The sequence below is a fragment of the Homo sapiens genome, chromosome 16, assembly GCF_000001405.40.
Source record: "Homo sapiens chromosome 16, GRCh38.p14 Primary Assembly".
Taxonomy (NCBI): domain Eukaryota; kingdom Metazoa; phylum Chordata; class Mammalia; order Primates; family Hominidae; genus Homo; species Homo sapiens.
In genome coordinates, this window is record NC_000016.10 from 23,515,018 (window position 1) to 23,540,803 (window position 25,786).

The following is a 25,786-nucleotide window of genomic DNA, read 5'->3' on the forward strand; positions in this document are numbered from 1 at the left end:
GAAGTGGTTGAGGAGTTTAATGTAGTGGTTGGGTGTGCAGGCATTGTGATTAGAACTATGTTGTTTTCATCTAAGAAATAAGATAAGTGCCTATTTCATGGGGTTTTTTTTTTCCTTAATCTAAAAGAGATAATATATATATATATAAATATGTATCAGCTGGGTGTGGTGGTGCAAGTCCCTGTAGTCTCAGCTACTTGGGAGGCTCAGATAGGAAGATTGCTTGAGCCCAGGGGTTCAAGATCAGCCTGGGCAACATAATGACAACCATCTCTACAAAACCAAAAAATATTAAAAGGCCAGGCATGGTGGCTCACGCCTGTAATCCCAGCACTTTGGGAGGCCAAGGCAGATGGATTATATGAGGTCAGGAGTTCAAGATCAGCCTGGCCAACATGACAAAACCCCTTCTCTACTAAAAATACAAAAATTAGCTGGGCATGGTGGTGTGTGCCTGTAATCCCAGCTACTCAGGAGGCTGAGACCGGAGAATCGTGTGAACCCAGGAGGTGGAGGCTTCAGTGAGCTGAGATTGCACCACTGCACTCCAGCCTGCAAAAAAAAAAAAAAAAAAAATTAAAATTAAAAATAAATTACCCAGCCTCCGATATTTCTTTACAGCAACACAATGACAGACTAACACACAGCTTAAGCTGAAATACCAATCTTCTGTCCTTGGTACTCCTGGATTTCAGGCATTCAGGTTTGGATTGGAATCTACACTACTGGCTCTCCAGCTTTCAGGCCCTTCAACTACACCACTGGCTTTCCTGGGTCTCCAGCTTACACAAGCAGATCAGATGACTTTTCAGCTTATCTATCAATTTTTATTTTTTCTACAGACAGAGTCTAGCTCTGTTGCCCAGGCTGGAGTGCAGTGGCACAATCATAGGTCACTTGCAGCCTCCAACTCCTGGGTTCAAGTATCCTTCCACCTCAGCCTCCCACAGTGCTGGGATTACAATTACAGGCATAAGCCATCACCTCTGACCTATTTTTTTTTTTTTTGAGACAGGGTCTTGCTCTGTTGCCCAGGCTGGAGAGCAGTGGTACAATCACAGCCCACTGCAGCCTCAACTGCCTGGGCTCAAGTGATCCTCCCGCCTCAGCCTCCCTAATAGGTGGGACTACAGGCACACGCCACCATGCCCGGCCAATTTTTTTTTCTATTTTTTGTAAAGATGGGGTCTTACTATGTTGCCCAGACTGGTCTCGAACTCCTGGGTTCAAGCAATCCTCTTGCCTCGGCTTCCCAAAGTGCTGGGATTACAGGCATGAGCCACCACACTCGGCCTTTTCAGCTTCTATAATTTGGTGAGGCACTATCTAATAATAAATCTCTCTTCCTAGATATATATCCTGTTGGGTCTGTTTCTCTGGAGAACCCTAACCTAGGCCCTTAGAGGCTGTGATGAGAGAACATGGCTTTATCGTGAAAATAGCCCTTTTCTGTGCCTCATTTTCCAATCTTCTCCTACTGGGGCTCCTTCCTTCCATCTGCTCCTGCTTAAGTCTCTCCTTGGCATAGTTGCCAGAGTGACCTTTCAAAAACCACAATCTGCTCATGTCATTTCCCTGCCTAAAACATTTCACTGGCTCTGCACCTCCCTCCTTATGAAGACCCAACTCCTTGCCTTCATTAATTGAACCCTAACTTTGCTGAGGTGCCTGCCACTCCCCACCTGGCCATGCACCTCAGGGACACGCAGACTCCCTTCATCTCCAGCTCTGGATCTGACTGATTTATGGAGACCCTCACTTCCCCAGCAGGGATGGCTAAAAATTTGGAAGTTGAGTAGAGGGAGGGTACTTAGGAGTTTCCTTGCTGTTGGGAGACAGCCATAGAAAGCCACCCTCTCCCCAGCTGACATGAAGGAGGAAGTGCAGAGGCCTGACTGCTGCAGGCAGCCAACTGTGGCTGCTGCAGATGCTGTGGCCAGGAGGGTGGAGAGAGAGAAGGACCCTGGGTCCTCACTGATGTCACCACACGTGTAATTAACCAACCCTGCAGCCCACCTTACCAATGAACTTCCTGCTAAGTACGATAATAAATCTTATTTAAGATTTATTGCTCTCTTGCCTAGGCTGGAGTGCAGTGGTGCAATCACAGCTCACTGCAGCCTTGACTTCCTGGGCTCAAGTGATCCTCCTGCCTCAGCCTCCCTAGTAGGTGGGACTATAGGCACATGCCACCATGCCCAGCTAATTTTTTTCTTTTTTTTTTTTTTTTGAGACGGAGTCTCGCTCTGTCGCCCAGGCTGGAGTGCAGTGGCGGGATCTCGGCTCACTGCAAGCTCCGCCTCCCGGGTTCACGCCATTCTCCTGCCTCAGCCTCCCAAGTAGCTGGGACTACAGGCGCCTGCCACTACGCCCGGCTAATTTTTTGTATTTTTAGTAGAGACGGGGTTTCACCGTTTTAGCCGGGATGGTCTCGATCTCCTGACCTCGTGATCCGCCCGCCTCGGCCTCCCAAAGTGCTGGGATTACAGGCGTGAGCCACCGCGCCCGGCCCCAGCTAATTTTTTTCTATTGAATCTGGGTTTTATTATTTGGATCTCACATCTGCCTGGTTTCTCAGCAGCCACTTCTACCTCTCCCCTGACTCCTACTCTTGGTCCAGTCCTGAACAACTTTGTGAAGCTTTATTTTTCATCCCTCTCCTTGGAATAGCCTTCCAACACCCATCTACCTGGGAAACTCCTACTCATCCCTCAGAACCCCTGAGGTGCATGCCACCACACCTAGCTAATTTTTTGTGTTTTTAGTAGAGACAGGGTTTCACTGTGTTAGCCAGGATGGTCTCGATTTCCTAACCTCGTGATCTGCCTGCCTCGGCCTCCCAAAATGCTGGGATTACAGGCATGAGCCACCGCGCCTGGCCTATTTATTTATTTATTTACTTATTTATTTTTATTTTTTGAGATGGAGTCTGTCACCCAGGCTGGAGTGCAGTGTTGTGATCTCGGCTCACTGCAACCTCTGCCTCCCGGATTCAAGCGATTCTCCTGCCTCAGCCTCCTAAGTAGCTGGGATTACAGGTGCGCACCACCATGCCTGGCTAATTTTTGTATTTTTAGTAGAGACGGCATTTCACCATGTTGGTCAGGCTGGTCCCAAACTCCTGACCTCATGATCCACCTGACTTCACCTCCCAAAGTGCTAGGATTACAGGCATGAGCCACCACGCCTGGCTGACATTTATATTTTTTGAGACAGAATCTCACTCTGTCACCAGGGATGGAGTACAGTGACACAGACACAGCTCACTGCTGCCTCGACTTCCTGGGCTCCAGCTATCCTCCCACCTCAGCCTCTCAAGTAGCTGGGACCACAAGTGCTCACCACAATGCTCAGCTAATTTCTGTATTTTTTTGTAAAGATGGGGGGGTTTCACCATGTTGCCCAGGCTGGTCTTAAACGCCTGTGCTCAAGCAATCCTCCCCCATTGGCCTCCCAAAGTGCTGGGACTACAGGAGTAAGCCACCACACCCAGCCAACAACTTCTAATTTTAGTCCCCACTAAACACATGTCAGTCATCTGTCCCCAGCCTTCACTTCCAAGCTTTGTCAAAGGTAGTTTCTCCCAGACAGCTGGATTCAATGCAAATTACAAGCAACAGACTGGACTGCTAATTATACTGGCAAATCTTGCAAAAGAGGAAAGACTTCCCCGCTTAAATGGAAGTGATACTGGTAACTGTTAAGAGTCTGGCAGTTAGACCAGCTGATGAGTGCCATTTCTGAAGAAACTGATCTTACTAACATAGTCCTCAAACACTTTTTCATCATGAGATCTTGACCCTTACTATGTATCTGGCAACGTGCCAGGTGCTATGGTTATACAAAAAGACAGACTTCCTGCCATAATCTCATATTCTTTTGAGTAAGAGAGTAAATATGTACAAATATATAATTTCATATAGTAAAAAGTACTATGAAGGCAAAAATAAAGTAGGATAAAGGCAGTATGAATGGGATTCCAAATTTGGCTATAAAAATGTAATTTTCTAGAACGGATACTGTCTTTTTTTTTTTTTTTTTTTTGAGACAGTCTTGCTCTGTCACCCTGGCTGGAGTACAGTGGCACTATCCTGGCTCACTGCAGCCTCCACCTCCCTGGGCTCAGGTGATCCTCCCACCTCAGCCACGCCAGTAGCTGGGATTACAGGTGTGCATCACTACACACCACTAATCTTTGCATTTTTTGTAGAAACAGGGTTTCACCATGTTTTCTAGGTTGGTCTCGAACTCCTAGGCTCAAGTGATCCACTGGCCTTGGCCTCCCAATGTGCTGGGATTACATGCATGAGCCGCCGTGCCCAGCCCTGGAAAAGATACTCTCTAAACAACACCGAAAAAGAACACGCTCAGGGGAAGGAACTGGTTTCCCACACACTAAAGTGAGCCACCTGCAGCCATGATCATAGAATATGACTCCCATTGACCACAGCTGATTGGACCAGGGGTAGACACCTGACCCAGGCTAGGCCAATCAGATTCTCCCCTGCGAGTTTGTATGTGGAATATTGGTTATTTAATTGGTGATGTAGGAGAAGAGAGATGATTTACCTTCAGGGCTAGGGCAGCTGTTGGCCAACTGCAGAGATAAAGAGAAAGGCAGCCTGCAGAGGGAAAACAAGGGGAGCAGACACACAGAGGGGTGAATGTTAGAAACTGTGCCATCTCAGAGGGCCGAGTGGCTGCCTTTGGTCCCAACAGGTTTCTAGGTACAGATTCCATTCTTTTGTGAGGTCCAGTTGGAAGTCCTGCCCTTTAGATCTGTGAGAGTCCTAATTCTTCCAATAAATTCCTTTCATGGTTTCAGTTAGTCTGAGTGTGTTTCTATGCATTGCCACCAAGATCACTGTTTCTAAGGATGAAAATAATGGTGATAGTTACCTAACATTTATTAAATGCCATGTAATGTTCTAAGAACTTCATATATGTTGCCAGGCGTGGTGGCTCATGCCTGTAATCCCAGCCCTTTGGGAGGCCGAGGCAGGCGGATCACCTGAGGTCGGCAGTTTGAGACCAGCCTGATCCACATGGAGAAACCCCGTCTCTACTAAAAATACAAAATTAGCTGGCTATGGCGGCACATGGCACATGCCTGTAATCCCAGCTACTTGGGAGGCTGAGGCAGGAAAACCACTTGAACCCGGGAAGTGGAGGTTTCAGTGAGCCAAGATCACGCCATTGCATGCCAGCCTGGGCAACAAGAGTGAAACTACGTCTCAAAAAAAAAAAAAAAAAAGAACTTCGTATATGTTATCTATTCCAATCCTTACAACTCTTTGAGATGGGTACAATTCTTATTCCTATTTTACAAACAAGAAAATTGAGGTACAGAAAGTCACATGTGAATAAGGGGCAGAATGTTTCTGAATCTAGACAGCCTCTGTGCCCTTCACTGCTGCACTATACCCTCAAAACACTGGGGATGGGCTTGAGGTTATTTAAAATGTATGAAATTCCTTCAAACACTTTTACTTAGCCAGGTGTGGTGGCATGCACCTGTGATTCCAGCTACTCAAGAGGCTGAGATAGGAGGATCTCTTGAGCCCAGGAGTTAGAGCTACAGTGAAATATAATTGTGCCACTGCACTCCAGTCTGGGCAGGCAACAGAGCAACATCCTCTTAAAAAAAAAAAAAAAAGTCTTACTGATCCTGAGCAAAACCCTCAAACAGAAGACAGACGTCTGGAGCTGCTTTCAAGATAGCACAGCACACTTCACTTGAGGAAGTAGCAACAGCTTTATTAATTTCGCTTTTTTATTAATTTCTTGTTGAGACAGAGTGTCGCTCTGTTCCCCAGGCTGGAGTACAATGGTGTGATCTTGGCTCACTGCAACCTCCCGTTCTGTGGGGGTTCAAGTAATTCCTGTGCCTCAGCCACCCAAGTAGCTGGGATTATAGGTATGTACCACCACACCTGGCTAATTTTTGTACTTTTAGTAGAGATGGGGTTTCACCATGTTGGCCAGGCTGGTCTTGAACTCCCGGCCTCAAGTGATCTGCCTGCCTTGGCCTCCCAAAATGTTGGGATTCTAGGTGTGAGCCACCAGGCCCAGCTCTAATTTAGTATTTTTTAAAAACTGTGGTAAAATACAGAAAAATATAAAATTTACCATCTCAGTCATTTTTAAATATACAGTTCAGCGGCATTACGTATCTTTATAATGTTGTGCAATTATCACCACCATTGACCCCTGTAACTACATCTTGCAAAACTGAAACTCTATACCCTAAACAGTAACTTCCCATTTCTGCCTCCCCAAGTCTGACAACCACCATCTTATTTTCTGCCTGTATAATTTTGATTATTTTAAGTAATTCAAATAAGTAGAATCTTACAGTATCTATCCTTTTAACTTTATTTTATTCATTTTTTTTTTTTTAGACACAGGATCTTGCTCTGTTGCCCAGGTTAGAGTGCAGTAGTGCATTCATAGCTCACTGCAGCCTTAACGCCTCAGCTCAAGTGATCCTCCTACCTTAGTCTCCCAAGTAGCTGGGACTACAGGCATATGTCACCTCACCTGGCTAATTTTTAAATTTTTTGTAGAGACAGGATCTCACTATGTTGCCCAGGCTGGTCTCCAAACTCCTGGCCTTTGACAAGCCTACCACCTTTGCCTCACAAAGCATTAGGACGTATTTGTCCTTTTGTGACTGACATTTCATTTAGCATGAAGTCCTAGAGGTTCATCCATGTTGTAGATATACCAGAATCGACTTAGTATTTTGACCACTCACTTTGTTAAAAACACTCACTTGACCATGAGCCAAGAAGCTCCTTTTAACCATTCTTAATGTCTTAGAAACAGATGCTCTGACAACACTCAGTAGATCAGAGTTAAGCTTGGACTCTGGATCGGCACAGATCTGAGTTTAAATCTTGGTTTTGCCTCGTACTATAACCTCGGAAGTTTTAGTTAACTTTTCAGAACCTCGGTTTCCATATCTGTAACAGAAAAAAAAAATACTGCTTCTCTCATAGTGTTATAAAAAAAATTTACTGAGATGATGGACTAAGGCATTTACGAGCATTATCTGACACCTGGGAGAGGGTGAGGCTCATATAAGCGCACAATAAATTACAAGTATTATTATTGTCCCCTTCTGTGGTCAACCACCTGTTGTTTCTGCCATTACATCATCTTCTGGAGAAAGCTCCCTAGTTTTCCTTGAGAACAACTTTTCCTCCATTGCATATAATCCCTGTGAAACTACCTATTACTGGCCAAGGAATGGTAGCAGGACCTCAGATAGCCCAACAGATACTTGCTCCTCAGAATCTGAACCTTGAGCAGAGTCATCCAAAACTGAGGGGAAAACACGGAGAAATTAACAACAACAAAACGGCTGTAGTTCATGTGTCGCCATCAAAGAACTCAGACAAGATTGGCCATTAGCTCCTGTAGCTAGTTCCTGTCTTTTCCAAAACCTGTTTTTTTTTTGGCTTTTTGGTAGATGCTGTGGCTCTCTTATGGCCTCCAATAAACATAAGTGAGGCAGAGTTGGTTTCTATTGTTTGCAACCAACGAACTTAATGGATTCTGTATTAGAAAGAACTGGTATATTTCTTTAAGCAAAGACTAGGACTCTATGGGGCTCAACAAACTCTGTAATCGCCTTTCCACTCCCCTGGACAAAATAAATATATTGTCTACTGCTGAAACGCAAATTATCCCCAAACCAAGTAGCTTTAAACAATAAACGTTTACTATCTCACAGTTCATGTGTGTCTGACGTTCCGGAGCAGCTTCTCTGAGTGGTTCTGGCTTAGGGTCTCCCATAGAGGTCACAAGCGAGATCAGCTAGGATTGCGGTCATGTGAATGCTTGGCTGGAATTGAAGGACCAGCTTTCAAGATTGCACACTCCCATGGCTATTGGTGGGAGGCCTCGATCCCTTGTCATGTGGAGCACTCCATAAGGCTGCTTGAGTATTTTCATGACCTGGAAGCTGGCTTCCCCCAAAGTAAGCGATCAAAGAAAACAAGACAGAAGCCACGATGTATTTTATGACTTACCCTCAGAAGTCAAACTCTCATTTCTTCAATAGTGTAGTGGTTACACAAGTCAGGCCTATTCAATGTGGGAAGGAACCACACAAGGGTGTGAATAGAAGAAGGCAGGGATGGTTGGGGGCCAACTTAGAGGCTGGCTGCCATGCAGGGGAAGCCTAGAAGCCTGGTAGGGGTTCATGTACCCTGCCACCATCCTCCTTTCACTTGCTATTCCTCTTCACTGAAGACCCCAAGAAGCATATCTCATTTCAGAAACCAGCAGAGATGATGACTTATAAGTCATGGAGGAAGGACGAGGTGGATTTGAAGAGAAAGCCACAAAATAGGAAGGGTGAAGGTCTCCAGTCCAAGGACCAGGTCTGGAAGACTGGAAAAACGGAACAGATGACGTTTAGGGAAGGGAGACACAGGCTGCCCCAAGGTTCAAGAATAAAGGGTAGCATAAGACAAGAGTGCTTACCCTTGGCAGTGGAGTCACACTTCTCCTTTTACAACCCCAAAGAAAGTCTGGTGTCCAGTTCAGCCCTGCTTGTGTCACGTATCCTTTGCTGCTCTGAGTCCTTGGGGCCTGAGAACTGGGACCCATGAGTCCTGCTGCCCAGCTGCTACGGGCTGAATTCTGTCCCCCTAAATTCTTACGTTGAGAAACCCCTGGAACCTCAGAATGAGACTGTACTTGGAGATTGAGCATTTAAAGAGGTGATTAACTTAAATGAGGCTGGTTAAAGTTAAAATCCAGTCCAACTGGTGTTCTTAGAAGAGGAACGTTGGGCACATAATGAAACTTAGAGATGTGTGTGCATGGAGGGAAGACCGCACAAGGACACAGTGAGAAGACAGCTGTCTGCAAGCCAACAAAAGAGGCCTCTAGGAAAAACCAGGCCTGCTGACACCTTGATCTTGAACTTCTAGCCTCCAAATGTGAGAAAATAAATCTCTGTTGTTTAAACCACCTGGTTCTGTGGCATTTTGTTATGGGGGCCCTAGCAAACTGAAACCCAAGCCTTCTGCACTGTTCCGGGATGTTAACTTTTCTGTGAACTAACTCCAAACCTCTGCTGTGTAATGTGTGAGAAACCAGACCCGGAGAATGCCTTTCCAGAGTCCAGGAGGTTAGATGGGTTGGGCTTCCCCAGCCAATTGACAAAAACGTGCCTGTGGTGGATCACAAATGCACTTGTGTGCAGTCAGAGATTGTTTCCACTCTTAGTTCCTTCAGCAAACTTCCCGACGGGCCCCAGGCCTCCTTCTGGTCTCTGAAAGCTGTTTCTAAGCTCACAGGTTCTTAGGGCGATCTCCACTGCCCGAAACATCCTCTCCCTAGCTGGAAACCACCTTCTGGATCCGTTCCCGTACTTCCTTTGGTCCCAAGGCCAACATCATCTCAGCTACAGGAGGTCCTTGCTAAGAACAAAAAGAGCAAATATTGCCTTACTACCTTAAACAGCCTAAAGAACTGAAGCTCAGCCTTAGTCTGCAGAAATTATTCCCAGGCCAGCCCCCACACTGCTGCCTGTGTTCTGAGGATCAGTGCTTGTGTTATTTCCCTGGAAAAGGATGGGTCCTAAGAGCCTGTTTCTCCTCCAACCACCGCCCTTTTTTTTTTTTTTTTTTGAGATAGAGTCTCACTCTATCACCCAGGCTGGAATACAACGGTGCGATCTTGGCTCACTGCAACCTCTGCCTCCCAGGTTCAGGCAATTCTCGTGCCTCACCCTCCCAAGTAGCTGGGATTACAGGCGCACCACCACCCCCAGCTAATTTTTGTATTTTTAGTAGAGACAAGGTTTCACCATGTTGCCCAGGCTGGTCTCAAACTCCTGACCTCAGGTGATCCACCTGCCTAGGCCTCCCAAAGTGCTGGGAATACAGGTGTGAGCCACCGTGCCTGGCCTGATTTTCCCATATTAAGTAAGCTGTTGCTAGGTCTGTTATCCCCAATAAACTGCAAACCCCATGGAGGCAGAGATTATGTATGTGTGTTTAATTCTATATTGTATTCACTGTACCTAACACAATGCTTGCACATAGTAGGTACTCAATAGTGTCTGTTGATTGACTAAATGAGGGGAGTGATCATGTTTCATTCACCTTTGTATACTCAATATTGAGCTCAGTGCCTGCCAGGAAATGTAAGTTCAAAGGATCAATGAGGGGCTCCAGGGAACAATCCAACCCGTGTCCCTGCCTCACCTGCTGTCCACTGAGGGCCATCCGAAGGAGTTTCATCACATTACTGTACTTGGTGCCTTCCAGACCTTCTGATAGCTTCTTCAGTTCTCCATTCAGCATATCCTGAGTTAAGCTCATACTAGATCTTTCTAGAAGCCTAGAAGAAGAGGGCCAGTTTACAGGGCCTGCATGGGCCAATGGCAAGTGGGTGGGAGGAAGGGCTTCAGAAGGTTATTGATCAGCTACAGTACGAGCAGCACAACCAATGTTCAAGCCTGTTTTGAGGGAGGTGAGGAAGATATTGACCACTTTCTCCCTTATCCAGGTCGGGAAGGAAAAACCACCAAGGGACCACACACAGAGAAGCCAGTGGTCACAATGCAGGGAGGTAAGAGGTGCCATAAGAGGCTTTACTCATTGCTACCTCTGTGTCATGCAATCTTTATGCCTCAGTTTTCTCATTTGTAAAGTGGGGAGAATAATAGTATCTGAGGCTGGCGCAGTGGCTCACACCTGTAATCCCAGCACTTTGGGAGGCCAAGGCAGGCAGATCACTTGAGGTCAGGTGTTCGAGACCAACCTGGCCAACATGGTAAAACCCCATCTCTACTAAAAATACAAAAATATTAGCCAGGGATGGTGGCGGGTGCCTGTAGTCCCAGCTACTCAGGAGGCTGAGGCAGAAGAATTGCTTGAACCTGGGAGGAGGAGGTTGCAGTGAGCCGAGATTGCACCATTGCACTCCAGCCTGGGTGACAGAGCGAGACTTTGTTTCAAAATAAAAAAAAAAAAATAATAGTATCTGTCCTGCACAAGGCTATCGTAGAGAGTTAAAACTTATAAAGCACCAAGTGCCTGAACACATGATAAATACTCAGAAATATTACCTTTTTTTTTTTTTTTTTTTGGAGATGGAGTCTCGCTCTGTTGCCCAGGCTGGAGTGCAATGGCACGATCTCAGCTCACTGCAACCTCCACGTTCCAGGTTCAAGCGATTCTCCTGCCTTAGCCTCCTGAGTAGCTGGGATTACAGGCACGTGCCACCACGCCCAGCTAATTTTGTATTTTTAGTAGAGACAGGGTTTTACCATGTTGATCAGGCCGGTCTCAAACACCTGACCTCAGGTGATCCACTCACCTTGGCCTCCCAAAGTGCTGGGATTATAGGCAGGATTATAGGCGTGAGCCACCATGCCCGGCCAAGTATTACATTTCGTATTTGAATTTAAAATTTTTAAAAATTAGTTAAGTACAATCAAGAGCTTTGAGACATTACAAAAGGATCTAAAAAGAAACAGTTCTGCTTGCAGGCACAACAAAAAAGAAACTTAGGAATAGATTTGACATAGAATGGATAATTTCTGGGAAATTATCTGAAATACAGCTTTAAGATTGGTAGAGAGAGACTTCTTTGGAGACGTAGCCAAGAAGAGAAGAAATCAGAAGACCCCACCCAGCTCCAGCAATGGCTCTGCCACCAACTTGCTATGGCCATTCTTCCACAAATTGAAGCCTCTAGGATTCCAGCGGGCCAGCAACCAACCCCCACATCCTGGCAGTCCAGCTGAGCAAGATGCTCTGCCCAAAAGCTTTTGTTTCAGGAGAAATTCTCCATTCAGTTAGAGGTGGACTTAACAAAAATTTGCCTCGGCCCTGATTGAGTTAGTCAAGAGATGGGAATAGGCTGGGGATGAGTATATTTCACTGCAACTTTCCAGTTCCTCTCAGTTTTTAAAAATAATTAATTATTTTTTTTTTAAGACAGGATCTTGCTCTGTCACCTAGGCTGGAATGCAGTGGTGCAATCACAGCTCACTGCAGCCTCAAACTCCTGGGCTCAAACGATCCTCCCACCTCAGCTGCCTGAGCAGCTTGGACCACAGGCACCCACCACGATGCCTGGCTAATTTTATTTTTACCTTTTGTAGAGATGGGGTCAAGCTATGTTGCCCAGGCTGGTCTCAAACTCCTGGCTTCAAGTGATCCTCCCCATTCACCCTCCCAGAATACTGGGATTACAGGTACAAGCCACAGTGTCCAGCCTCCCTTCAGTTATTACTGGAGATTCCAACATGGAAACACTGAAGAGGAACTGGGGCTGGACATCTTTCTGGTGCAGATGGTCTGTGATGTCAGTTCTGACCCTGCCTGCTCAAACATGGTCCAGGCAACTGCATTCCAAAGTCAACTCAGTATGGACCACTACTGTCTCAGGGAACTGGGTTCATAAGTGATTTGAAGAAGCAGCCTTTCAGTGCAGACAGATCTCCTTACTAACTGTCAGCACTGAAGCAGATGAGTTTCAATTTCAGACAAGAGTGATCGTTCTTTTTTTTTTTTTTTTTTTTTGAGACAGAGTCTTGCTCTGTCGCCCAGGCTGGAGTCCAGTGGTGCAACCTCAGCTCACTGCAAGCTCCGCCTCCCGGATTCACGCCATTCTCCTGCCTCAGCCTTCCGAGTAGCTGGGACTACAGGCGCCCACCACCACACCCGGCTAAATTTTTGTATTTTTAGTAGAGACGGGGTTTCACCGTGTTAGCCAGGATGGTCTTGATCTCCTGACCTCGTGATCGGCCCGCCTGGGCCTCACAAAGTGCTGGGATTACAGGCGTGAGTCACCGCGCCCAGCAAAGGATGATCGTTCTTACTGCATCATCTCTATGTTCGGAATGTTTGTGTTCCCCTAAATTCATATGTTGAAATTTTAACCCCCAAGGGGACAGTATTCACAGGTGTGGGCTTTGGGAGGTGAACAGGTCATGCAGGCCGAGCCCTTATGCACAGATGAGTGCCTTTATAAAAGACACCCCAGAGAGTCCCTCGTCCCTCCACCACGTGAGGATGCAGCGAAGGGCTGGAAAAGGGAAGGGCCCAGGAACAAGGCTCTCACCAGACACTGAATCGGCGGCACCTTGACCCTGGAGTTCTAGCCTCTAGATCTGTGAGAAATAAATGTCTGTTGTTGAAGCCACCAGTCTATGTTATTTTGCTATAGCAACCCCATGGACTGAGACAATTATTAACTGGGTCACATGAGTACTGCTATTTACAAAAATCAGGAGATGAAATACTGAAGACAAAAAATATAATGTGGGAAAAAAGCAGACACTCTCCCCAATGGCACTGCAGGGAAGCAGGCTGCCGAGGAGCTGATGAAACAATGACAGGCCCCAGGCCGGGAACAATGGCAGTTCCAGACCTGCTAGAGCTGGCCCAGAGTTAAGAACCATGGCATAGGCACAGAAAGGATTTCTAGTGATCTGGCAGCTCCTGAACATTTGGGTATCAGCTTTCCTGACTCGAGAGGGAGTCCCAGAGCAAATCTAAAACCCAACCTCATGGTGGAGACAGGCAGTTACGACACTGAATCCTGGTGAATTAGAACTAATAGGCCCTGGCCAGGCACTATGGCTCACGCCTGTAATCCCAGCACTCTGTGAGGCTGAGGTGTGAAGATTGCTTGAGCCTAGGAGTTTGAGACCAGCCTGGGCAACATGGCAAGACCTTGTCTCTACAAAAAATAAAAAAATTAGTTGGGCGTGGTGGCTTGTGCCTGTAGTCCCAGTTTCTAAAGAGGCTGAGGTGGGAGGATGAGCCCTGAGCTGCTTCCTGCAGATTGCTACATAATGGAGAAATGTACTTCCACAAAGGACATGCGCTGTCATTTCTTTTGTCTGGTAGAGAGTCTTGCCCTCTAGTTACCTGATACACAGCCTCTGCAGGAAAAGTGGTCAGCATCGGCGAGTAGGGGCAGAAGGGGAAAGGCAGAGAGCGAAAGCGAATCTTGGTAATGGAGTACCGACTCCTGCATTAAGCTGTGCCTCAAGCAGCCCTTCTTCTAGCATCTACAGTTACATAAGCAATTATTCCCCTCTTGCCTAAGCCAGCTTTGGTTGCGTTTGTAATTGAAAGTTATTACTGTTACAGTAAGAATTAGCATCATCTCTCTCTCACTGAGAAGGAAAAGGAAGCTCAAATAGGTACAGTAACTTGGCCAAAGTGAAGCCGCCTGAGCAAGGTGACATAATCTGGTGAGTACACGGCAGAGCTGGGATGCAACCAGGTTGGTGCAAGCAGTGAACACATGCCTATGTCCAGAGAAAGCCCGGGTTCTCCGGGTAAGCCCTCCTCACCAGCGAAAGCCAGTGAAGGGTCACTTCTTCACTGGCCATGGAGTTGTGCTGGGGCCCCAACAGCCCAGCCCTGAAGGAAAGAGAGCCATGGGACAGAGAGAGGGAAGGAGGGTGTGGAACCCTGAGCTCAGCCTGCGGGTACTCACCCCAGCACACGCTTGGCAATCACATCCACCTTCTCCGAGATGGCGTCCAGCTGTGCTCGACCTACTGCAGGGCGAGTCCACAGGTAAGAGTATACTGGGGACACCAAGTCCTGCAGGCGGCAAATGTGACCCTGGGGAAGGAGGCAGTCATTGAATGCACTAGGGACAGGGCTCTGGAAGGCAGGAGGAATTGAGGCACCCAGTAACCCCTCCCTCAGCTTCCCAGAATCCTGACACCACACCTGTCTCAGCAGGAGGATCCTCTCCACGTAGACTGGGTTGAGGACATCCCTGTTTTGCAGCTGGCAACCAAAGGCCTCCTCCACAAGGACCTGCAGCTTCCCCACCAGCTGGCGCCTCTGGCTCTCATTGCTCACCAGCCGCTGGAGGTGCAGTCTGCGGAAGAAATCAAGGGGCTGCCCTGCTGTCAACACCCCAACCCACCCAAACCGTCTCTCCCCCAGGGAAAGGGTGAAGTTGGAAGAATGACATATCAGGTCCCATGAGCCCTCCCTTTCGCAAGCTAGAAGAATCTCTTCACGTTTATAAAAAGAAAGGGATGTGACTAAGGTCACAAACAGCCTGAAAGTCCCAAGCAACTCGGAGACGTGCTTTCTTTTCAGGGGTTTGGTTTTTGTTTTTGTTTGAGAGTCTTGCTCTGTTGCCCAGGTTGGAGTGCAGTACCACGATCATGGCTCACTACAGCCTAGACCTCCTAGGCTCAAGCGATCCTCCCATCTCACCCTCCCAAGTAGCTGGGCCCACAGACACACATCACCATGCCCAGCTAATTTTTTAGTTTTTTGTAGAGACAGGGTCTTGCTATGTTGTCCAGGCTAGGCAACAACAAGCAATCCACCCAGCTGGGCTCCCAAAGTGCCAGGATTACAGGTGTGGGCCACCATGCCCAGCCACGCTTTCAGTGTTTTCAAAATAGTAGCTGACCTTTTATTTTTATTTATTTATTTTTGAGACGGAGCCTCACTGTGTCACCCAGGCTGGAGTGCAGTGGTGCGACCTCCGCTCACTGCAACCTCCGCTTCCCAGGTCACCTGCCACTCAGTCCTGCTGGACCTGGAGAAGCTTTTGGCCAGGTGCAGTGGCTCACTTAATCCCAGAACTTTAGGAGGCCAAGAAGGGAGGATCACTTGAGGCCAGGAGTTTAAGACCAACCTAGCAACATGGTAAGATGCCATCTCTACAAAAAAAATTTAAAGTAACAAAATTAGCCTGGCATGGTGGTACACACCTATAGACTCAGCTGGTCTGGAGGCTGAGGGGGAAGGATCACTTCAGCCTGGGAGTCTGAGGCTGCAGTGAACCGAGATGTCACCACTGCACTCCAGCCTGGGTGACAGGGCGAGACCCAGCCACTAAAATATATAGAAAGAGGCATTTTTTTTTTTTGAGATGGAGTTTCACTCTTGTTGCCCAGGCTGGAGTGCAATGGTGTGATTTCGGCTCACTGCAACCTCCACCTCCCAGGTTTAAGTGATTCTCCTGTCTCAGCCTCCTGAGTAGCTGAGACTACAGGCGCCCGCCACGTCGGGCTGATTTTTTTTTTTTTTTCTATTTTTAGTAGAAATGTGGTTTCACCATGTTGGCCAGGCTGATCTCGACTCCTGACTCAGGAGATCCACCTGCCTCAGCCTCCCAAAATGCTGCGACTACAGGCATGAGCCACCGCGCCCAGCCTACATCCACTCTTGAATGCCCCATTCAAAAGATGCCCACTGTTTACTGTGTGAACTTTGGCTAGTTTCTTTCTTTTTTTTTTGAGACGGAGTCTTGTTCTGTCACCCAGGCTGGAGTGCAGTGGAGCGATCTCGGCTCACTGCAAGCTCCGCCTCCTGGGTTCACACCATTCTTCTGCCTCAGCCTCCTGAGTAGCTGGGACTACAGGTGCCCGCCACCACACCCGGCTAAGTTTTTTGTATTTTTAGTAGAGACGGGGTTTCACTGTGTTCGCCAGGATGGTCTCGATCTCCTGACCTTGTGATCTGCCTGCCTCGGCCTCCTAAAGTGCTGGGATTACAGGTGTGAGCCACCATGCCTGGCCACTTTGGCTAGTTTCTTAACCTCTCTATGTCCTGGGTTCCTCATACGTGAAACAGGGCAAAATCATACAACTGACCTCATAGGTCTGATGGGAGAAGTAAATAAAGTAATAGCCCTAAAATATCTGCAACTGATGTTAATTCTCTGGGCTCATGCAAGTAAATGCACTGATACTGTGTCCCCAAACCAGTGCTCTAGGCAAAGTATCAGGAAGACCCTCACCCCAGGTGCACACCTGGCTGATGGTCTTGCAAACCACTAATAACTTTTTTTAAAGACAGAGTATCACTTTGTTGCCCAGGTTGGAGTGCAGTGGTGTGATCCTGTCTCACTGCAACCTCTGCCTCCCAGGTTCAAGTGATCCTCGTGCCTCAGCCTCCCAAGTAGCCGGGACTACAAGCATGTGCCATGTCCAGCTAATTTTTGTATTTTTAGTAGAGACAGGGTTTCACCATGTTGGCCAGGCTGGTCTCGAACTCCTGACCTCAGGTGATCTGCCAACCTTGGCCTCTCAAAGTGCTAGAATTAAAGGTGTGAGCCGCCACACCCAGCCGACACTAATACCCTTTGACTCAGACATGTTAACTATGATCTGAGTTGGAACGATATTTGGAGGTTTCCAAGTGAAGAGCTACTTGCAATATCAAATACATGAAATATAAAGTAGATGCCATGAGACAGTGCTCACTCACTGTGTTGGCTGGATGTAAGGCTGAGGGTGGGGAGGGAGTCTAAAATGAAGATACACCTCTCCAGGCTTTGGTTGTTAACAGAGTCCATGCAAGGGGTGGCTAGGAACATAATGTTAATGATAAAAATATACGTACCATTTACTGAGCACTTTGTATGTGCCAGGGCTATACAAGATATTTTCATGCAACACTTAATACAAGATACTTTCATAGAACAAGGATATAAGATCAGTACTGTTATTAATCCCATTTTAGAGAAGAGAAAACAGAGGCTCAAAGAGGCTAGGTGATTTAGCCATGGTCACACAGAATTAGGTACCAGAGCCCATTATACCCTCTGCTGTAGGGATCATCATAAGCAAGAAAGCCCTTTGCCACCAGGGGATCTCCATGCTCCCCACTCACCTGTTGAATTCTGGGAGCTTCTCCAGGTCCAGCAGGGCTGAGTGACAGGTGACCTGTGTCAGGTTGAACTGTGTGATCAGCTCCGGCAGGGTCCTGCCCATTTGGTTCTCTGCAAAGAAGAGAGGCCCAGCCACTCAGCTTCCTCTCTCCCTTCCTCCTTCCACTTTATCTCTTTTTTTTAAGAGACAGGATCTTGCTCTGCTGCCCAGGTTGGAGTGCAATGGTACAATCCTAGCTCACTGTAACCTCAAACTCCCAGGCTCAAGCAATCCTCCAGCCTGTCTTCCAAGTAGCTGGGACTACAGGCACATACTACCGCACCTGGCTAATTTTTAAATTTTTCTGTAGAGCCAGGCATGGTGGCTTACACCTGTAATACCAGCATTTTGGGAGGCAGAGGTCGGCAGATCATGAGGTCAGGAGTTCGAGACTGGCCTGGCAAACATGGTGAAACCCATCTCTACTAAAAATACAAAAATTAGCCAGGTGTGGTGGCGCATGCCTGTAATCCCAGCTACTCAGGAAGCTGAGGCAGGAAAATCACTTGAACCTGAGAGGCGGAGATTGTAGTGAGCTAAGATTGTGCCGTTGCACTCCAGCCTGGGCAACAGAGCGAGACTCTATCAAATAAATACATCATACACACATACATACATACATTTTTCTGTAGACATGGAGTTTCACTATATTGCCCAGGTTGGTCTCAAACTCCCAGGCTTAAATGATCCTCCTGCACTGGCCTCCCAAAGTGCTGGGATTACAGACATGAGCCACTGTGCCCGCCCTCCTTCTACTTTCAAACATAAGGGAGGCTGAGTGAGCAAGCCCTGGGCCCCCCATTCCACTTTGCCCAAAGGGATTTAACTTCTAGCTATTTATATATCAAGAGCCTGAATGAGCTTTCATTTTCAGAAAGGGTTCCATCATTAAAGAAAAAAAGGTCTGAAAACAATCAGGCTAAACCCATCTCCATTACTCTCAAGACACGAGCTGCAGAACAGTACGCCCATTGCCTGGCTGTACCAGAGACTCTGAGTCAACTGGGTTTGGTTGGGGTCTGAGCATATTTTAGAAGCTTCCTAGCTGATTCCAAAGCACGATCAAGAGTTAAGAACCAGGCCAGGCACGGTGGCTCACGCCTGTAATCCCAGTACTTTGGGAGGCCAAGGCGGGTGGATCACCTGAGGTCAGGAGTTCGAGAACAGCCTGGACAACATGGTGAAACCCCATCTCTACTAAAAATACAAAAATTAGCCAAGCGTGGTGGCGGGTGCCTGTAATCCCAGGTACTCGGGAGGCTGAGGCAGGACAATCGCTTGAACCCAGGAGACGGAGGTTGCGGTGAGCCGAGATCGCGCCATTGCACTCCAGAATGGGGGACAAGAAGTTCTGTCTCAAAAAAAAAAAAAAAAAGTTAAGAACCGTAGTGCTGGGAGCTGCTTCTTGTGAGCAGCAGCTCAGTCCCATACGGTCAGCAGGCATCGTGATCAGGCATAGGCCTAAAGCGCTATATCCCTCACTAGGTGTGTGACTTTGGCAAGTTACTCAGCTTCTCTGAGCTTCACAATCCTCTTACAAACAGTGGAGATATGTATCTACCCCTTAATAGTATGTTGTGTTAAATGAAATGAGACCAGCAGGCAGGCTATTCTGGACACATTTTCAGAAATCCTTCAGGTCATCCTATTTGATGCTTGCTTCTTCAAGGTTTGGGTCTAAGTCTTGGACCATGGGTAAGTGCTCAGCTTGAAATAAACTAGATTCATCTGGCAGTAAAATGAAGAAGGAAAAAAAGAAACTAAATCCATATTAATTCTAGTCATACTGTTAGCATACATGCTTGTAATAATTGTCACAATCATAGGGTCTGTCATTTTTTGTGCTTACAGTGTGACAGGTGCTGGGCTGGGTACCTTACACTCCTGAGCTCAGTGAATCCTAACCCAATGAGGTAGACACTTATCCCCATTTTCCAGATATGCAACTGAGGCTCAGAGACTATAAGTCCCTTGAGGGCAGGGATCATGTCTATCTCACCCACTACTGTAGCCCCAGCACTTAATGTGGTGTCTGGCAAAATAAACATTTATTGAATAAAAGAATAAACTTGTCCAAGGTCACCTGGCTGGTAGGTGGCAAAGCTGGGACCAAAGAGCAGGACTGTCTGAGCCAAAGCCCTGCTCCTCCTGGCCATGCTCTCTGCTGCCAGGACTATTCAGGTGGGCACGTACCTGCAAAACCTGAGCCACAGTTGGTGATGATGTCCAACAAGGAATCGGGCAGGAAGCCATCAGCAGCAAAGTGCTCCAGGAAAACGTCCCCTTGCCTCTTGGAGAGCTTGCTGCCATCCCTGTTGAGGAGCAGGGGCAGGTGGGCGAAGTGGGGTGGCTGCCAGCCCAGGGCCTGGTAGAGGAGCAGGTGCTTGGCAGTGGAGACGAGCCACTCAGAGCCTCGCAGCACGTGGCTGATGCCCATGTGGTGGTCGTCCACCACGCAGGCCAGGTGGTATGTGGGGAAGCCGTCGCTCTTCATGATGACTGGGTCTCCCTCCACGCTGGCCACTTCATGCCTATTCCAGCCATAGACCAGGTCCTGGAAGGCTGGCACCACCTGCTCCAGGCGGAAGCGGATCGCAGGCTTGGGGTCCTTGGCCAGCTTCTGGGCCACCTGCTCCTGGCTCATGTTCCTGCACCGATTGTCATACCTGATGGGGAGCAGAGCAGCATGAGTACTGTTGATGGAAAGGTTGATGGACAGGAGTCCTACCTCTGTCATAGCTGTGTGACCTTAAGCAAGTCAGTTACTGCTGCAAGCTGCTTCCTCAGTCTATAACAGGGATGATGGTACAGTTGTGTGGAAAACTGAGATAACATGGTGTAGCAGACACTAATGTCTGCCTATCTACCAGCCATTCCACGCTTCTTCCTTGCTAACAAGAAAATAGCAAAATGCTTAGTCCGAGGGGTTGAATCCTGATTGGTATAGCCAATCTTGCAATCCTATTGCTCCATGCCAGTGACCAGTCCAGGCAGGAATGTAACCCCATCCTAGTCACTGGGATGCAAAGAAAAGCATGCCTGGGGAGTAAGAAAGGTTTAAGGTTCCGGGAAAGGTTTTTCTCTCCAAAGGACAAGAAGAGAAAGCCACAGGAGGAAAATCCCTTCTTAAAATTTCCCACTGCCCCACTTCTGTCCTCTTTGGATGTTGTCCTGTAAGGGGAGCATGCTTGGACCTGCGGCAGCTACTTGCAACTGCAGGAGGGAAGGCAATGAAGTCAGAGAGAAGCCAAAATAGAGCCCTGGTGTCTCTACACTGCTAGTCTCATCCTGGAGTCACCCACCTCCAGCCTTGTGCAGAATCAAAAGACAAATGTCTATGATTGATGCCCTGGCTACTGAAAGTGTGGTCTGTGGGCCCCTAGCATCAGCCTCTTGGGAGTCTGCCAGAAATGCAGACTCTTAGGCTCCACCCCAGACCTACTGAGTCAGAATCTGAACATTAACTAGGTCCCCAGGTGATCCATCTGTGAGTTAAAGTATCGTTTGTCCCTTCTAACAGGGTATTCCACTAACTGCACCCAAAAGCGTTCTGAGACACAGATGGAATGCTTGTAAGGTTAGTCTTTGCCACAGCTAAGTGTTCAATCAATCAATAAATGGTGCACAGGGCTGGACACAGTTGCTCACGTCTGTAATCCCAGTGTTTTGGGAGGTCAAGGTAGAAGGACAGCCTGACCTCAAGGGTTCAAGACCAGCGTGGGTAACATAGCAAAATCCTGTCTCTTATTTAAAAATTTAAAATACCAGCCTGGGCAACATAGTGAGACTCTGTCTCTACAAAACAAAACAAAACAAAATCAGCCAGGTGTGGTGGTGCATTCCTGTAGTCCCAGCTCTGTGGGAGGCCAAGGTGGAAGAATCACTGGAGCCCAGGAGGTTGAGGCTGCAGTAAACTATGATGGCACCACTGCACTCTAGCCTGGGTGACACAGCGAGACCCTGTCTCAAAAAAAAAACTTTTTTTTTCTTTTTTTTTTTTTTTTTTGAGATAGAGTCTCGCTGTGTCACCCAGGCTGGAGTGCAGTGTCGTGACCTTGACTCACTGCAACCTCCACCTCCAGGGTTCAAGCAATTCTCCTGCCTCAGCCTCCTGAGTAGCTAGGATTACAGGTGCCTGCCACCACAACCGGCTAATTTTTATATTTTTAGTAGAAATGGGGTTTCACCACGTTGGTCAGGCTGGTCTCGAACTCCTGATCTCGTGATCTACCCGCCTCGGCCTCCCATAGTGCTGGGATTACAGGTGTGAGCCACCGTGCCCGGCCAAAAAAGAAATTTTTACAAATGAGTCAGTTGCACATGAGTGAACAGGAGGGTGTTCAGCTGCAGAAGCAGGGCAGCATTATGTCTGAATCAAAGGAACTTGTTTCTTCAAGCTCTTCTGGCAGGAATTCTGACAGTGAGTTTGACAAAAAGTTAAAGAAGAAAAAGTAAGTTGCTCCAGAAAAACTTGTAAAGGAACAAAAGACTGGCAAAACTTTGGGAGCTCTGTCATCTTCCAAACAGAGCAGCGGCAGTAAACATAATAACATGTTTATTTTCTTTTTTAAATTTCATATAGAGATGGGGTTTCACCATGTTGCCCAGGCTGGTCTCGAACTCCTAGTCTCAAGTGATCCACCCTCCTCAGCCTCCCAAAGTGCTGTGATTAGATTACAGGCCACTGTACTCAGCTGATAACATGTTTCAGATTGGGAAAATGAGGTACCTTAGTGTTTGGGATGTTAAAGGGGAAGTGCTAATTGATGGTATTAGAGATTATTGGATGGATCTCAAAGGTTAAATAAAACCAGGAAGAAAAGGTATTTCTTTAAATCCACAGCAATGGGGCCAGCTGAAGAAACATTCATTCATTCATTCATTTACTGAGACAGGGGACAAGGTCTCACTCTCGTTGATCAGGCTGGAATGCAGTGGTGCAATCATGGCTCACTGCAGTCTTGACTTCCTGGGCTCATGTGATTCTCTCATCTCAGCCTCCCGAGCAGCTAGGACTACAGGTATGCACGACTATACCCAGCTAATTTTTTGTATTTTTAGTAGAGACAGGGTTTCTTTCTTTTCTTTTCTTTTTCTTTCTTTTTTTTTTTTTTTGAGTCAGGGTCTCACTCTGTCACCCAGGCTGGAGTACAGTAGAGTGATCACAGCTCACTGCAGCCTAGACATTCCCAAGGGTAAAGTGATTCTCCCACCTCAGCCTCCCAAGTAGCTGGGACTACAGGCGTGCACCACCATGCCTGGCTAATTTTTGTATTTTTTTTAGTAGAAATGGGGGCTCACCATGTTGCGAAGGCTGGGCTCTAGCAATCTGCCCACCTTGGCCTCCCAAAGTGCTGGGATTACAGGCATGAGCCACCGCACCTAGCTGGAACAGATATTCTAATCGATACATTGATGATGCAGTAAGAAAACTGTAAAGTCTGAGCCATACAAAACCTACACTATCCTAGTTGGGTTTTTTTGTTTTTTGTTTTGAGATGGAGTCTCGCTCTGTCACCCAGGCTGGAGTGCAGCGGCGTGATCTTGGCTCACTGTAGCCTCTGCCTCCCAGGCTCCCAAGTAGCTGGGATTACAGGTGCACGCCACCATGCCCAGCTAATTTCAGCAGAGATGGGGTTTCACCACGTTGGCCAAGCTGGTCTCGAATTCCTGACCTCAGGTGATCTGCCTACCTCAGCCTCCCAAAGTGCTGGGATTACAGGCGTGAGCCACCGTGCCTGGCTTCTAGTTGTATTAATCTGTCTTTTTACATTGGCTTCTGTTTTCTAAATGTTGTTCTCCAAGCTGTCATATGTTTGGATTACAGAACAACTTGTAAGATGAATACTTGTTTTAAATGTGCATTATTGAATATGTTCTGTCCAAGTGCGGTGGCTCACTCCTGTAATCCCAGCATTTCGGGAGGACAAGGCAGGAGAACTGCTTGAGCCCAGGAGTTCAAAACCAACCTGGGTAACGAGACCTTGTCTCTACTAGAAATTTAAGAAAAAAAAAGAATTAGCCGGGCATGGTGGGTACATGTGTGTAGTTCCACCCACTTGGGAGACTGAAGCAGGATTGCTTGAGCCCAGGAAGTCAAGGCTGTGGTGAGTCATGATTGCATCGCTCCAGCCTGGGTGACACAGCAAGACCCTGTCTGGAAAAAAAAGTCCTAAGGGAAGCTAACTGTCAGCTTTATTAAGAAGGATTGCTTTGTACCTACCACCTAATGTAAAATAAAACCAAGTAATACATTCTCAACAGTTATGGCCCCCCTCCTTTTTTTTTTTTTTTTTTTTTTGAGACAGGGTCTCATTCTGTCTCCCAGGCTGGAGTGCAGTGGCACAATCTCAGCTCACTGCAACCTCCATCTCCCTAGTTCAGCTGATTCTCCTGCCTCAGCCTCCTAAGTAGCTGAGATTATGGGCACACACCACCAAGCCCAGCTAATTTTTGTACTTTAATATAGATAGGGTTTCACCACGTTGCCCAGGCTGCAGTTGTGTCCTTTTTTTGCTCATAAGAGCTAGTACTGTTTAAGGCCCAAAGTAATAGTTTTTACAGATCTTTTAGTTTCAACTAAGCTTTTACAATAGAAAGGACTTGTATTGCATTGAGTTTATAAACTTTTGGTTTGTGAAATCCATACTTGATCTGTTCTTTTCCAACCAAATGTCTAGGCTTGACTTTTCCACCCCAATGACATTTCACTTTATTAAATATTAGCAGATATACTTTGATAACCAACACAGCTTGTATGAAAACTGAGCAAGTGTCCATCATGACCCATAGGGTTCTGGGTAGTTGTTACCTTACTGTTTAGTCCACAAAAAATAACGACTTAGATAAGCTGTCTGATTTGCTTTCGCTTATTAAACACGTTCACCATGAGATGATGTGTGTAACATCAGATACCGTTAAATTAGACTAGGATTTAATACAAATCCTGAAAGCTTAAAATAAATAAATAAATAAATGGCTGCAAGGATTCCACAACAGGGCATGACTATAATTTAACAAAAAAAAAAAATCTGTTGGCCAGGCATGGTGGCTCATGCCTATAATCCCAGCACTTTGGGAAGCTGAGGTGGGAAGATCGCTTGAGTTTCATACCAGCCTGGGCAAAATAGGGGAATTCCATCTCTACAAAAATTTAAAAACTAGCTGTGTGCCAGCCGGGCATGATGGCTCACACCTATAATCCCAGCACTTTGGGAGGCTGAGGTGGGTGGATCTCCTATGCTCAGGAGTTTGAGACCAGCCTAGGCAACACGGAGAAACCCCGTCTCTACCAAAAAATACAAAAAAAATTTGCCGGGCATGGCGGCACACACCTGTGGTTCCAGCTGTTTGGGAGGCTGAGATGAGAGGACTGCTTGAGCCCAGGAGGCAGAAGTTGCCTTGAGCCAATATCACACCACTGCACTCCAATCTGGGTGACAGAGTGAGACCCCATCTCAAAACAAAACAAAACATAACACTCTGTGTGTGGTGGTACATGGCTGTGGTCACAGCTACTTGAGAGGCTGAGGATGTAGGATTGCTTGAACCCAGGAGATTCAAGGCTGCAATGAGCTGTGATCATGCTACTGCACTCCAGCCTGGGTCACAGAATGAGATGAGAAAAAAAATATTCTGTCAAGAGACAAATACATTGTTTATAATAAAAAGGCAATGTCACCGTAAACGTCATGACCTTGGCCAAACAGCTGAGCCCTTGACCAAATAGTTCACTGGAACTGCAATGTAAATGTTACAATGCTATTGCAGATGGGAGTGTAAACAAGTAAAGGGCCAGCCACTTGGCAGTATCCATCAAAGCTACAACTCGACTCTGCAATTCCACCTCTAGGAAGGTATTCAGCAAACATACTGCACAAGTGCAAAATGACATATGTCAACATTAGTCATCACAGCTCTCTTCTTTTATAACCAAATATTAGAAATAACATAAAGGTTTGGGCTGAGCGCAGTGGCTCATGCCAGTAGTCCTAGCACTTTGGGAGGCCGAGGCAGGTGGATTGCCTGAGCTCGTCCTAGCACTTTGGGAGGCCGAGGCAGGTGGATTGCCTGAGCTCAAGAGTTCAAGACCAGCCTGGGTAACACGGT

The 25,786-nt window shown here is 47.1% G+C and overlaps 2 protein-coding genes and 1 pseudogene across 6 annotated transcripts in view, besides 4 other annotated features; 1 reads left to right on the forward strand and 2 right to left on the reverse strand.

Annotated features, from left to right (window-relative positions):
- The window catches only part of GGA2 (golgi associated, gamma adaptin ear containing, ARF binding protein 2), a 60,818-nt gene extending 51,476 nt beyond the window's left edge, over window positions 1–9,342 (reverse strand). Inside the window, exons 1-2 of the mRNA XM_047433801.1 lie at window positions 6,776–9,342; window positions 4,570–4,622 (exon numbers count right to left, since the gene is read on the reverse strand). Coding sequence (XP_047289757.1) covers window positions 4,570–4,622; window positions 6,776–6,783 — 61 coding nt within the window. The 5' untranslated portion in view covers window positions 6,784–9,342. The remainder of the gene's footprint in view (window positions 1–4,569; window positions 4,623–6,775) is intronic.
- Window positions 1,784–1,963: an enhancer, noted in NCBI's record as "active region_10582". NCBI's record gives its function as "activates an Ori minimal core promoter by ATAC-STARR-seq in GM12878 lymphoblastoid cells {active_cell/tissue: GM12878}" and the evidence as "EXISTENCE:reporter gene assay evidence [ECO:0000049][PMID:35858748]".
- Window positions 5,737–25,786, reverse strand: part of EARS2 (glutamyl-tRNA synthetase 2, mitochondrial) — a 36,622-nt gene continuing 16,572 nt past the window's right edge. For 2 of the 5 annotated variants that reach the window (NR_003501.2, XR_001751841.1), the window contains exons 4-10: window positions 19,871–20,343; window positions 17,640–17,748; window positions 14,727–14,880; window positions 14,485–14,615; window positions 10,227–10,362; window positions 8,494–9,437; window positions 6,999–8,400 (exon numbers count right to left, since the gene is read on the reverse strand). Coding sequence is in view for 3 of the 5 variants with exons in the window: in NM_001308211.1 (NP_001295140.1) it covers window positions 10,110–10,362; window positions 14,485–14,615; window positions 14,727–14,880; window positions 17,640–17,748; window positions 19,871–20,343 (1,120 nt within the window). In the remaining 2 variants the exon portion in view is untranslated. Of the gene's footprint in view, window positions 9,438–10,002; window positions 10,363–14,484; window positions 14,616–14,726; window positions 14,881–17,639; window positions 17,749–19,870; window positions 20,344–25,786 lie in introns of those variants that run through there. The other 3 variants (NM_001083614.2, XM_011545738.2, NM_001308211.1) reach the window with 2 other exon arrangements.
- SUB1P4 (SUB1 pseudogene 4) lies at window positions 21,987–23,158 on the forward strand (annotated as a pseudogene).
- Window positions 22,989–23,490: an enhancer, noted in NCBI's record as "H3K27ac hESC enhancer chr16:23549327-23549828 (GRCh37/hg19 assembly coordinates)". NCBI's record gives its function as "activates a minimal SCP1, AML or CMV promoter by ChIP-STARR-seq in primed H9 embryonic stem cells {active_cell/tissue: H9 hESC(primed)}" and the evidence as "EXISTENCE:reporter gene assay evidence [ECO:0000049][PMID:30033119]".
- Window positions 23,491–23,990: an enhancer, noted in NCBI's record as "H3K27ac hESC enhancer chr16:23549829-23550328 (GRCh37/hg19 assembly coordinates)". NCBI's record gives its function as "activates a minimal SCP1, AML or CMV promoter by ChIP-STARR-seq in primed H9 embryonic stem cells {active_cell/tissue: H9 hESC(primed)}" and the evidence as "EXISTENCE:reporter gene assay evidence [ECO:0000049][PMID:30033119]".
- Window positions 23,591–23,885: an enhancer, noted in NCBI's record as "tiled region #1793; K562 Activating non-DNase unmatched - State 14:Gen5', and HepG2 Activating non-DNase unmatched - State 5:Enh". NCBI's record gives its function as "activates a minimal TATA promoter and a strong SV40 promoter by Sharpr-MPRA in K562 cells, with weaker activity in HepG2 cells {active_cell/tissue: K562 | HepG2}" and the evidence as "EXISTENCE:reporter gene assay evidence [ECO:0000049][PMID:27701403]".